The 11313-nt window shown below is 56.7% G+C and overlaps 2 protein-coding genes across 12 annotated transcripts in view, besides 10 other annotated features; one reads left to right on the top strand and one right to left on the bottom strand.

Moving 5' to 3' along the window:
- CLCN2 (chloride voltage-gated channel 2) overlaps positions 1-932 on the top strand; it is a 15421-nt gene extending 14489 nt beyond the window's left edge. For 4 of the 5 annotated variants that reach the window (NM_001171088.3, NM_001171087.3, XM_006713489.2 and 1 more), the window contains 2 exons: positions 96-182; positions 317-932. In NM_001171088.3, coding sequence (NP_001164559.1) covers positions 96-182; positions 317-511 — 282 coding nt within the window. In that variant the 3' untranslated portion in view covers positions 512-932. The remainder of the gene's footprint in view (positions 1-95; positions 183-316) is intronic. The other variant, NM_001171089.3, reaches the window with a different exon arrangement.
- Positions 12-763: an enhancer, noted in NCBI's record as "H3K4me1 hESC enhancer chr3:184064142-184064893 (GRCh37/hg19 assembly coordinates)". NCBI's record gives its function as "activates a minimal SCP1, AML or CMV promoter by ChIP-STARR-seq in naive H9 embryonic stem cells {active_cell/tissue: H9 hESC(naive)}" and the evidence as "EXISTENCE:reporter gene assay evidence [ECO:0000049][PMID:30033119]".
- Positions 764-1516: an enhancer, noted in NCBI's record as "H3K4me1 hESC enhancer chr3:184063389-184064141 (GRCh37/hg19 assembly coordinates)". NCBI's record gives its function as "activates a minimal SCP1, AML or CMV promoter by ChIP-STARR-seq in primed H9 embryonic stem cells {active_cell/tissue: H9 hESC(primed)}" and the evidence as "EXISTENCE:reporter gene assay evidence [ECO:0000049][PMID:30033119]".
- FAM131A (family with sequence similarity 131 member A) lies at positions 842-11191 on the bottom strand. 7 transcript variants are annotated; one of them, XM_047447437.1, is made up of 7 exons: positions 10994-11191; positions 9399-9806; positions 8588-8730; positions 5300-5393; positions 4869-5051; positions 4257-4373; positions 842-2622 (listed from the first exon to the last, which is right to left on the bottom strand). In XM_047447437.1, the coding sequence occupies exons 2-7, from the start codon at positions 9484-9486 to the stop codon at positions 2147-2149; spliced, it is 1101 nt and encodes a 366-aa protein (XP_047303393.1). In that variant the 5' UTR covers positions 9487-9806; positions 10994-11191; the 3' UTR covers positions 842-2146. The 7 variants fall into 7 exon arrangements, with proteins under 7 accessions (XP_047303393.1, NP_001353063.1, NP_001164564.1 ...); NM_001366134.1 differs by having other exon boundaries at positions 9746-9806; NM_001171093.2 differs by lacking the exon at positions 8588-8730 and having other exon boundaries at positions 9746-9806.
- Positions 1517-2268: an enhancer, noted in NCBI's record as "H3K27ac-H3K4me1 hESC enhancer chr3:184062637-184063388 (GRCh37/hg19 assembly coordinates)". NCBI's record gives its function as "activates a minimal SCP1, AML or CMV promoter by ChIP-STARR-seq in naive H9 embryonic stem cells {active_cell/tissue: H9 hESC(naive)}" and the evidence as "EXISTENCE:reporter gene assay evidence [ECO:0000049][PMID:30033119]".
- Positions 2269-3021: an enhancer, noted in NCBI's record as "H3K27ac-H3K4me1 hESC enhancer chr3:184061884-184062636 (GRCh37/hg19 assembly coordinates)". NCBI's record gives its function as "activates a minimal SCP1, AML or CMV promoter by ChIP-STARR-seq in primed H9 embryonic stem cells {active_cell/tissue: H9 hESC(primed)}" and the evidence as "EXISTENCE:reporter gene assay evidence [ECO:0000049][PMID:30033119]".
- Positions 6193-6272: an enhancer, noted in NCBI's record as "active region_20909". NCBI's record gives its function as "activates an Ori minimal core promoter by ATAC-STARR-seq in GM12878 lymphoblastoid cells {active_cell/tissue: GM12878}" and the evidence as "EXISTENCE:reporter gene assay evidence [ECO:0000049][PMID:35858748]".
- Positions 8364-8975: an enhancer, noted in NCBI's record as "H3K27ac-H3K4me1 hESC enhancer chr3:184055930-184056541 (GRCh37/hg19 assembly coordinates)". NCBI's record gives its function as "activates a minimal SCP1, AML or CMV promoter by ChIP-STARR-seq in primed H9 embryonic stem cells {active_cell/tissue: H9 hESC(primed)}" and the evidence as "EXISTENCE:reporter gene assay evidence [ECO:0000049][PMID:30033119]".
- Positions 10767-10967: a silencer, noted in NCBI's record as "fragment chr3:184053938-184054138 (GRCh37/hg19 assembly coordinates)". NCBI's record gives its function as "represses an EF-1alpha promoter that drives an FKBP-Casp9 reporter gene in an ReSE screen in K562 erythroleukemia cells {active_cell/tissue: K562}" and the evidence as "EXISTENCE:reporter gene assay evidence [ECO:0000049][PMID:32094911]".
- Positions 10767-11313: a biological region, named in NCBI's record as "ReSE screen-validated silencer GRCh37_chr3:184053938-184054138".
- Positions 10774-10843: a silencer, noted in NCBI's record as "silent region_14963". NCBI's record gives its function as "represses an Ori minimal core promoter by ATAC-STARR-seq in GM12878 lymphoblastoid cells {active_cell/tissue: GM12878}" and the evidence as "EXISTENCE:reporter gene assay evidence [ECO:0000049][PMID:35858748]".
- Positions 10884-11313: a silencer, noted in NCBI's record as "silent region_14962". NCBI's record gives its function as "represses an Ori minimal core promoter by ATAC-STARR-seq in GM12878 lymphoblastoid cells {active_cell/tissue: GM12878}" and the evidence as "EXISTENCE:reporter gene assay evidence [ECO:0000049][PMID:35858748]".

Below are 11313 nucleotides of genomic sequence, written 5' to 3'. Positions count from 1 at the left end.
TATTCCACACCAACCTTGTCCTGGGCCCCTGTGGCCTGTCATTTAGAGCTGCCCCTCGTCCATCAAGTCCAATCGCTTTTCTCCCCACACTGCAGACTCACACTATCTTCTCACTGCTGGGAGTGGACCATGCTTATGTCACCAGTATTGGCAGACTCATTGGAATCGTTACTCTAAAGGAGGTGAGGTGATGGTGGCCTCCAAAGCTGCTCCACTTCCAAAAAGTCATGGAGGCTTATGTCCAGCTCACCTGGGGAGGAAGGCGGGGAGGAGTCTGACATCTGGGTCCAGACATCTGTCCCTCTCACCTTTCCAGCTCCGGAAGGCCATCGAGGGCTCTGTCACAGCACAGGGTGTGAAAGTCCGGCCGCCCCTCGCCAGCTTCCGAGACAGTGCCACCAGCAGCAGTGACACGGAGACCACTGAGGTGCATGCACTCTGGGGGCCCCACTCCCGTCATGGCCTCCCCCGGGAGGGCAGCCCTTCCGACAGCGACGACAAATGCCAATGAGCCCCTCGTGGGTGGCCTAGGATGGTGCTAGCCATGCCCGTCAGCCCAGAATGTGCATCTTTCATTCCTTCTGCCTTCGGAAGGCAGGAGGCAGCTACAGCTGGAGGCTGCACCCCAGCCCCCTCCAGACCTGGGGTGCCAGCTTCTCCCAGTTCATCCTACCTGGAATCTGACCCACTACCCACCTGCAACAAGTCTTCCAGAGGCAGGAAGATAGGCCCTGCCCTGGCAGGATGGGTTGGGGTCACTTGACCCCTGCTCCCCCTTTGAGGGGAAAGGGGTGGAACTAAGATGGGTTTATAACTGGAACCTCCAATGACCAGATGTATATAGAGATTTACAAAGATTTTTATATTAATTTAATAAAACAAATTCTTAAATAGAACAAAATAAACACCTAATGAGCCACTTATATATAGAATGCTTGTGCCCGTTGGCTCTCGTTCTTACCTTGGGCCCTCTTACCTGCCAAAGCCTACAAGGCCCTTAATTCTAAAGCCACCCACCCTTCCCACAACCATAAAAACGTACAGTCCAGTGACCTTGGAATGCAGGATCTGCCAGAGGCCTCCACTACGTGGGCATTAACACCCTGGCTGGGGTGGGGCCCTGTACTGTAGCCTTGGCCTTTCATTCAGACAGAAAGGCTCTACCTTCTTTCCTCCCCAAGAAGAGACACTCCCTCATGACTGTCACTCACTGGCACAATTCCTGCCTCTCAGCAGGCATCAGCTGACAACTCCCGGCCACCCCTGTGGCCCTCTTGTGGCCCTCTCTAGAAGAACATGAAGTCCCAGCTCTGTGGCAACCAGAGCCATCCTTTCTTCCACCTCCCGCTCAGAGAGCTCTGCGTGAATGGGCAGCCCGGCTGGCTGTGAGGCGCCAGCACACTGCCCGCACATCCTAGGAGGGGTTGGGAAAGGGCCCAGGCCCCATTAGGGGGCCAGGAAAAGGGTGGAGGGTACATGCTTTCATCATTCCAAAGCCTCCCAGAGAAGAGAAGATCCGACTGAAAAAACAGACCAAAAACCTTCTGTCTTTAGGAAAAAAGAGGAAGATTTAGAGACGATGGAGAGGTGAATGAAGCACAGCACGAGCCCAGCTGGGCAGGGGCCCTTGAGGGACGGCTCAACCCATAGGCTCCGGGAGGGCAGGAGCCAGCCCCTCCAGGTGGGGGTGATTCTATCAAGCACTGCACATGGACTCGGAAGTGAGAAGAAAAGCAGAGAAGAGAGAGGCATGGGGAGGGTGGGGGGTTGCTGGGCCCCCTCCCACCCCACCCTCACACAGCCCAGTCACAACCCCCTTAGTGGTTCACATTATCCGAGGAGGAAATGTGTGTGTGGCATTTTAAGAACATGAACATCACTGTCTGCCACAGCTGTAGCCATGCCCCAGAGGCCCCGGGCAACCCCCGGCAAGCCCCGGGAGTGGGGGCAGGACATGCGCCCCCAGCCCAGCCCCTGCCTCCTCTCCAAACACTTTCATGCAAAACACACAACGGAGAAGCGAGCGCTCCCAGGAGCCCTCTAGGCTGTGGAGCTCTGCTGGGAGCCTTGAGCCCACACTTGGGCACAGAGGCTCTGCCCCTGGCAGCAGCCGGGGGATGCATGCCACTGCCAGGCATGATGTGGGTCACTGTTCCTCTGGCTCTGCCTCATCCTCATCTAAGGACACCACCCCAGAAGAGGCCAGGTCAGAGGCTTGCCGCTGCCGTTCCCAGCTGCCCGTTAGTGGTGGGCAGAGTGGCTGGCAGTCCTTGCAGGGGGCTGGCTCCTCCTCCGCGGGGGAAAGGCAGGACTCTGTGAGGGGCGAGTTGTAGAGTGAGTCCTGGGCCTCCAGTGGGCCCAGGCTGCGGAAGGCACTTTCCCGGCTGGGGGGCAGTTTGGCGAGAAGCAGCTCATCGCCCAGCAGCTGGGAGGCCAGCCGGGCCGGGGAGCCCAACAACCCATCCTCCAGGCTGCACAGACTAGAGCACAGGGTGTCTGGGGACACGGTCTGTGAGCAGTCGCTCTCAGGCTCCACGGAGCCCTGGCGCACAGGCCGGGAGAACCGGTGGCCGGTGAACAGGTCCTGGAGGTGCGGCCCCAGGGGCAGCTGCCCAGCCATGTCTGTGAGGAGAAGAGAAAAGAAGACAGTCCTGCTGGCTCCATTTCAACTGGACAACCTGGAAGCCACATTCACCCCACTCCACCCCTGGCATAGCTCTAGGGGTGGATAGGTGCTGGGTAACCTTGAACCAGTCACAACTTTTTGAGACCTCAGTGTCCTTAATGGTGAGTTGGAGATTCTAACAATACAAGAACAAGAGTCTCGCACACAGGTGGGTGCGGTGGCTCACGCCTGTAATCCCAGCACTTTGGGAGGCCGAGGCAGGTGGATCACCTGAGGTCAGGAGTTCGAGACCAGCCTGACCAACATGGAGAAACCCTGTCTCTACTAAAAACACAAAATTAGCCGGGCGTGGTGGCACATCCCTATAATCCCAGCTACTCGGGAGGCTGAGGCAGGAGAATCACTTGAACCTGGGAGGCGGAGGTTGCAGTGAGCCGAGATCGTGCCATTGCACTCCAGCTTGGGCAACAAGAGTGAAACTCCGTCTCAAAAAAAAAGTCTGGCACACAGTTAACAAGCAGTAAATGCAGGGTCACCGCCTATGGCCATACAGGTTGCTCATCGCACAACAGGGCCTGTCCAAGGCAGTGAGAAATAGCAAAATCTAACCCATACTCTGCTCACCAAGCAGCATGCCCTGGCCTGCCAGAGAAAGGCTGTGCCTGCCAGAGAAAGGGGTGCCTTTTTCTAATTTGCACAAAGATTCCACACAGGCTAGTAGCAGCCTTGGATAAATGTTAGTTATTATCATTACCCCAGGGGTCAAAGTAGGCCTGGAACTCAATCAAACAAAAATGCTTGTGGTTTAAGGTTCCATCTTGGCTTCAGACAACCAAATCAGCCCTCCAGACCACAGCAGCAGTCTCCAACCTGCTCTCATGTATTGCCTGCTTTGGAGAACTTGTTAATTCACTGGAGGGGTATGGGATGGTAGAGGTAATCTTCAAAGGCAAAGAGGTTGTGGGGAATGGTGGCCTGTGAGACTTGAGCCCAGAAGCTACAGAGAAAGTCAGCCATGTGGTCTAGGGAATGAAAGATGAAAGGAGGGCCGAACACAGCTGCAGAGCCCTGCAGGGTCCCCTCTGCAAGCACTGGCCCAGAGAAAGGCCCACGGGCTGGAATGCAAGGATGCTGAGTTGGAGCCAGCATGGCCCCGTGGGTGTTCCAGGCCCAGCATGCCTTCCTGTTGACCTGGGCTGCAGCCCTGCGAGGTGCTGGGCTGTGCACTGCAGCTCATCTGCCCTGCCACAGCCAGCCAGAAGGCTGCCTCGGAGAGGAAGAGGCAAAGGCACTGCAGACCCTCCCAGAGACATGGCTGCACAGAAGGTGTCCTTGAGGTCTTTCGGCTTTTTTTTTTTTTTTTTTTTTGAGGACTGCAAGGCACAACTGTGCAGACAGGCAGAGAAGCCTCAGCACCTGTGGGAAAGGAACGAATCCATTTCTGTCTGCTCATTTCCCACCCATGAGTGTGGACAGCCTTCCTGTCCCTGGAGTGTCCAGGCCTGCCTGGACTGAGTCTGTCCCTCTCCCTCCCCTTGCAAAGGCTGAGAGTGTTCTGGATGTGGCTCTGAAAGAATGCCAAGGTCTATCAGGTGGGTCCACCACAGCCCTAGCCCAGGATGTCCCTCACCTGTGTCCATTCCCCCAGCAAAGTCCTCATCATAGGAGTCATCAGTGGAGTCCTCGCCATCCACCGAAGACCATGCTCGGAGCTTGGCTTCCGCGATGGCAAACTGCTCAGCCACTCCTGTCGCAGGGACAGAATGCATAAGCAGAGAAGGTGAGCTAAGTCTAGGGCTCAGCTTGAAGACAGGAGAGAGGAGAAACAGGGTATGGGAAGACTCCAACCCCCATGTCAGACCCGAGGAGATAAGAAAGCAGCCCTGGCCGGGTGTGGTGGCTTATGCCTGTAATCCCAGCACTTTGGGAGGCCGAGGCAGGTGGATCACTAGGTCAGGAGTTCAAGACCAGCCTGGCCTAGACGGTGAAACCCCATCTCTACTAAAACTACAAAAATTAGCCAGGCACGGTGGCAGGCAACTGTAATCCCAGCTACTTGGGAGGCTGAGGCAGGAGAATCGCTTGAACTGGGGTGGCAGAGGTTGCAGTGAGCTGAGATTGCATCACTGCACTCCAGCCTGGGCGACAGAGTGAGACTCCGTCTCAAAAAAAAATTAAATAAAATAAAGAAAGAAAGCAGCCCTGTGCCAAGAGTGTAGCTTATCCCCTTTCTGCCATCCACCTGCTGCAAAGCGAGCCTCTTGTTCGCCCTCGCTGAGGTCTGAATAGGAGGAAAAGGCTGATTCCAGGGCAGCAGGTGAGTCACTCGGCTTGCTCCAGCCCTTCCACTCAATGAGGTGAGCCACTCGGCCCTGGGCCATGGCGGTAGGCTTGGTCACGTGGTCCTTCACCACCTGGGAAATACCTGGAGATAGGGGAGGGTGGAGAAGCCTGGTAAAGGACCAGGCCAGGGAGCACAGGTGCAGGGAGGTGGAAGGGTGGCAGTAGTTAGGATCCATGTGAACCTTTGGGTGGGAGAAGGGGCTGAGATTCACCTGAGCAAGGGAAGAAAGGGGAGACCCCAGCATGTACTCACAGGAAACAGTTCCAAAGGGATGTGCAAACGGGAGGAGAAAGGACAAAGTGGCCAGAAACATGGGAGGGGCTGCATACCATGCAGGGAGGACCTGGCCAGCGCAGCGATCTCCTGGATAGTTAGGGCTCGCCGGGACTTGGGCAGCATCGCGACTGTGTCTCCAACATTCACCTTGGGTAACACCATTAGAAAGTCAGTGCCCCTCTGACAGCAATGACCTTCCCCCTAACATGCCCATACCCAGCAAAGGCATGAGGAGGAGACAGGAGCTAGGAAGGAACACCACATATGTCCCAGTGGCTACAGGGAAATGTAAGATGATAAGAAGCTAGGACAGGTGAATTATGTCCTCCCAGAAAGCAATGGAGATTCAGACAGGCCCCGAGAAGCAAAACTTCAGCTAATCCTCCACTTTCCCAGCACCCAGAGGAGATGGAGGCAGGGCAGGAAATGAAGAACCACGAGTGAGACCTCTGAGGAGAGGGAAGAGGAGGAAGGAAGAAGAGTGTGGCATCCAGGACTTCTTTAAGATTCCCTTCCCCTCTGCCCCTTGCTCCTCCTCTTGGTCTTCCCATCCACATTCCGGCAGACTCGGCAAGATGGAAACCAAACCCCCACACCTTCTCCCCACGTCTGGCCCTGCTTCCTGACCTCTTTCCTTTGCATCACCCACCACTGTCCCATCTAGCCTGGCTCCAAACCTCAGCATTACCATCAATTCTCCCCTGGCTTTGCTTGCCCATATCTGTTGATAAGACCTAATGATTCCACCTGCAAAGTCCCTGCTCCTACCCTGTCCTTTCTACTGCTACTGCCATTGCCCTTTCTCAAGCCCTCAATGCCTCCTGCCCAGGTCGGCAGAAGTGGTGTTCCCCCAGCCTCCTCCAATCCCATGCTATTTTCTCAGGCCAAAGTGTAGTGAGTGTAGTGCTCCCCATCTCTTCTGGACTATTCTGATGGCTGGCTAGCTCTTTCTCATTCTTCCAGTTTGGGCTGAAATACCACCTCGTCAGAGGAGCTTTCCTGGCCCCCCTCTTGGTAGTCTGTCCTCCCTCTGTAGTCTCTTAACAAATCACTCTCCATCAACGTACCCCATTTGTGGCCCTTAGTCATAGTGAGTAATAATGGTCTCTTTTGCATTTCCTGTTTCTTGTTGGTCTCCCTCACTGGTCTTTGGCTCTTGGGGAATTCAGTCTGTTTTGGTCACTGTAGTGCCCAATGTTTAGCACAGCACCTAATACAGAATAATTTCTTAAAAATGCATAGGCTGGCCAGGCGTCAGTGGCTCATGCCTGTAATCCCAGCACTTTGGGAGGCCGAGGTGAGCGGATCATGAGGTCACGAGTTCAAGACCAGCCTGGCCAACATGGTGAAACCCCGTCTCTACTAAAAATACAAAAATTAGCTGGGCATGGTGGCACGTTCCTGTAATCCCAGCTACTCAGGAGGCTGAGGCAAGAAAATTGCTTGAACCAGGACCCGGGAGGCGGAGGTTGCGGTGAGCCGAGATCGCACCACTGCACTCCAGCTTAGGCTACGGTGCAAGACTCCATCTCAAAAAAAAAAAAAAAAAAAAAAAATGCATAGGCTGGGCCAGGCGTGGTGGCTCACGCCTGTAATTCCAGCACTTTGGGAGGCCAAGGGGCCAAGGTGGGTAGATCATCTGAGGTCAGGAGTTTGAGACCAGCCAGGCCAACATGGTGAAACCCCATCTCCACTAAAAATAATTTAAAAAATGGGCAGGGCATGGTGGCGGGTGCCTGTTATCCCAGCTACTCAGGAGGCTGAGGCAGGAGAATTGCTTGAACCCAGGAGGCGGAGATTGCAGTGAGCCAAGATTGTGCCACTGCACTCCAGCCTGGGCGACAGAAAAAGACTCTGTCTCAAAAACAAGCAAACAAAAATGCAAAGGCTGGATGAATGAGGTAAGATATAATGTAAACAGTTTTCCTGGAGTGCAGCTGGTCACAACACATCTCTAAAATCTTGTCTAGCCTACGCTACTGTCCAGTGAGGTTAGTGCAGGCATCATACCCAGGCCCTGAAGGATCCCACTCTGTGACACCCTTGCCTCCTTCCAAGCCTCCTTTGAATCCACTGCTGATCTCCTCTGCCCAATAAAACCCCCCTTCTCAGGCCGGGCGCAGTGGCTCACGCCTGTAATCCCAGCATTTTGGGAGGCCGAAGCAGGCGGATCACCTGAGGTCGGGAGTTGGAGACCAGCCTGGCCAACATGGTGAAACCCCGCCTCTACTAAAAATACAAAATCAGCCGGGCGTGGCAGCGCATGCCTGTAATCCCAGCTACTCTGGAGGCTGAGGCAGGATAATCGCTTGAACCCCAGAGGCAGAGGCTGCGGTGAGCCGAGATCGCACCATTGCATTCCAGCCTGGGCAACAAGAGCGAAACTCCGTCTCAAATAAATAAATACATAAAAATAAATAACAAAAAACAAAAACCCTTCTCCACCAATCCCTGTCAGCAAGCAGCCCGCCTGCCTCCAGGAAAAGGAACTCAGCTTTCCTCTGGGCCAAGAATGCCATCCTTACGTGAAAAAATGCTTGCCATCACTTAAGGCCCATCTCAAGTGTCACCTGCAAATAATGCTTTCAGCCGACAGCCTCTTCTTTTCTCTGACACACCCCGCCCCCATCATTGCCCTTGTCTGTCTCCCGAGGGAGCTCAGGATGGCAAGGCCTAAGTCTGATGCACGTAAGTTCCTAACTCCACCCTGTACCTGGCTCAGGGCTCCCTGACAAGCCCCAGCAAATGTTTCCCTCACTTAATGAAGTTGGAGGCACACATCCCTCCCCGGCATTGCCCAGCTCTCTTCTATCACGTTCCCGTCCCTCACAAGGGCAGCCAACACTGCCCCTTGACCTGAGGCCCACCCTCGATCCCTCCCCTTGGGTACCTGGCTGACAGGGCCCCCAGGGTGGCGCCAGTAGCCTCCAGCCAGGCCTAGGCGGGGGAGCACCTGCTGGGTGTTTCTTAGCTTGCTCTCCCTCCCTCGCTTCGCTCCCCTCAGCCGCCGCCATCCGTGCCCGGCGCTCCGCGCAGCTGCGGCCCAGGCCCAGAGAAAAGGTGTATGTCTCCCTGGCAACCCATCACCACGCAACAGGGTCTCCCGGGATACGGCCCGGGATGCGCTGACGTCAGCGCGGAAGGCGCGAGCTCTCCGCCTGCTGGCACAGCGCCGAGCAGAGCAGACCGGCACGGGGGCGGCCTCCCGGCCCGCCGCCGGATAGCGCCTCCGCCCGCCGGAAAAGGGAGCCAGAAGCTGGCTGGCCAGGCGTGGGTGGGGGCTGCAGATCCCCTTTATATGGATGACGTCCTCCTTCCCCCCACCACCAGGGGCCCAGCACCTCTGGCAAGTCCTGACTGTCCACCGAGGAAGGGCGGGAGGACCTGCTCCAGCCTCGGAGGGTTCGAGCAGATCCCAAAGAGGATAGAGAGAGACCCCGAGGAAGTTCGATCCACTCCACAGCCCAAGCGGGGTCCGAGGACACTGAGAGGAAGGGGAAAGGCTGTTGAGCTGTGCCCCTACTTCTGCAGAGATCCCCATTTTCATCCAGTATTGCCGTATCATTTCTCGGCCCCTCCCCCACCTTCCAGAAGACCAGCGCCCACTGAGTGCTCTCCTCAACTCTAAAAGCCCCCATCCCACACATCACTGACCCTCGGGCCCCTGGGGCCATTCTGTGGCAGCCCACTTGCCACCTTCCTGCTCTGGATAAATTTTGCCTCAAAACCCTAGGGTGAAACCAAACAATGATAAATTCTGACTCTCCTTCCCGTTTCCCAGCCTACCCATTCCTCTTGGAAAGCACACTGAGTTCTTCCGCCATCACTGTCCCCCCCACCACCGCCACCCTGGACCCTTTGCAGGAGGGTTGCCTTCCTTCTCTCTTCCTGCTGCCTTCTTTCCTCTCGCCAGCCTCAGCTGGTCCACAGCTCTTTACTCTTCTTTTCTGACGAACTCATGATATTTTTTCTGATTTTCACCCCTGTCCCCTGAAGCCGTTTCCTGATGCCCTGTCTGGCCCCAGCCTGGTTCTCCCTGTTTCAGCCTGGTTCTTAATATCTAAGCCAGAGTAATTTTCCTTTTCCACCTAAGCACCCTACTGCTCAGCTTCCCATCATCTCCCAGATCACATCCATGATCCCTGGTCTCACCTCTGCGACTTGTCTGACAAGTCCATCGTCCTCCAGGCCCTTCACGCTGCCACAGAAACATTTTGCCCAGCACAGAAATCATAGGCATGCTGGCTGTGTTGATGCAGAGAACCAAAAGCCCAGAACCGCTCCAGGCTCAGCTCCCAGTTCTATTCCTGTTTTGGCTCCGGATGCTGAGCCAGTCCCCTCCCCATTTGGAACCTGTGCCTAGTCACATAAGGAGAACATTCCTGCCTCATGGCTCTGAGGAGGTGGGAACACCAGGGCTCAGCCAAGCTCTCTGGGACTCGGGGAGCTGAGGCCCATTCCCTAGACAGTGCCAACAGGCAATGTACATCACAACTGACCTTTAGCTGGAGCAGCCGTCTCTATCCCTGAGCCTCGGCCAGCTGTTGGTCCCCAGAAATGCTACCAACCAGAAGGAAAACAGGAGGTTACAGGCCATCCCTGGCCCCCAACTGGTACCTAACCAGGGCTCTCGAGGCCAGTCCTGAGGTCAGCCAAACTCACCCCTGACAAGAGAAGGTGATGACTTCCTGAACTCCAAGCCTTGATAGGGCCAGAGAGATCAGAGCAGTCAGCTGCTCCTCAGCTTCAAAAGCCACGAGGTTAACTTAGGACTACAAATCCCAGAATTCCTCAAGGGAAGTACAAATCTCAGCCAGTCTTAGCTCCAAAGAACATCAAGTACCAACCACACCAAGGCCTGTGTGACTGACCACCTGCCCTGAAGGTCCAGGACCCATCCCAAACCCAGTCCTGCCTTGCCTTATGCGTGGAGAAATCCACCACACCGGAGTAAAGGAAGCTGGCCGACCTCTGATGCACAGGACTACGGCCAGGCCCGGTGTGCATGGCCACCCACGGAAACCGAGGCCCAGGCAGGGGTCAGCACTGTGGGAAGGAAGCCCTGATGGCCTGCCTCTGGGTTCCTCTTTCCCTCCACAGAGTAGAGTGATTTGTTTTTGCTGAGTGGGGGCAGGACATTAAAACAACTGTAATAGGTGAGAGGTGATTCAGTGTTCACAGGTGCCCCAAACGGGACCTCAGTCCCCCTTCGCCGACTGACTGAAGAGGGGAGTCAATGTCCGACAAAAATTCTGTGGTAGGGTGCTTAGCCAGGACCGAAAGGCTACCTCTTTAAGAAGATGGGGACACGGCTGGGAGAAGCAGGTTCCCAGCACAGGGCCACTCCCAGGACTGTGAAGGCAGAGGTGTAGGCGGAGGGGAGTGTGTGTGTGGGCGCGCAAGGCCAGTCGCCGAGGGCTGGAGTGGTGGGGGCATCGGGCTGCCCAGCCCCTCCCGGGGCTGTGCGTCTCCGGCCACCCTGAGCAGTGGGCACACGGCAGCCAGCGGCGAGACCATGCGTCTGCCCTGCAAAACCCCAAGGCAGGCAGGCCGTGGGAGCGAACCGGAGTCGGTCTGGCCCCTTCCCTGCTCATTCCCGCTCCCTCCTGTTGCCTGGCCCGCCTCCCGGTGCAGGCTCCTCCCTCTCCCGACACCGGCCCCCTCCTCAAGGCCCCCACCCACCCGCGGCCCGCGCACCGGCGGCCGCAGCCCGACTCCCCAACCCGTACCCGGCCTCCGCCTCTTACCCTGACCCGCCGGGCTCCGAGAGCCGATACAGCCCATGGCCGGGCACCCAGGCACGCTAGCCTGCGCTCGGGGCGCGGGCCATCGCCTTGCAGAGGGTAGGGTCGCGGCCACACTGGGGAGGGGAGAGCCCGTGAGAGGGGAGGGGTGGGAGCCGCGCGTCCGCCGCCGCTCCCCGGAGAGGGAACCGGGCCGGTGACGTAAGCGCGGGGGCGTGACCGCCGCGTCACCACCCAAAGTAGGCGGGGCGCAGCGACGTCACAGCCACGCAGAGGCGGCCTGGACCGGGTTCGAAAATGCCGGTCCTCTCCTCCCAGAGCCG

The sequence above is a fragment of the Homo sapiens genome, chromosome 3, assembly GCF_000001405.40.
Source record: "Homo sapiens chromosome 3, GRCh38.p14 Primary Assembly".
Taxonomy (NCBI): Eukaryota; Metazoa; Chordata; class Mammalia; order Primates; family Hominidae; genus Homo; species Homo sapiens.
Note: the sequence above shows the minus strand (reverse complement) of the source record. Positions and strands in the feature narration are given on the sequence as shown.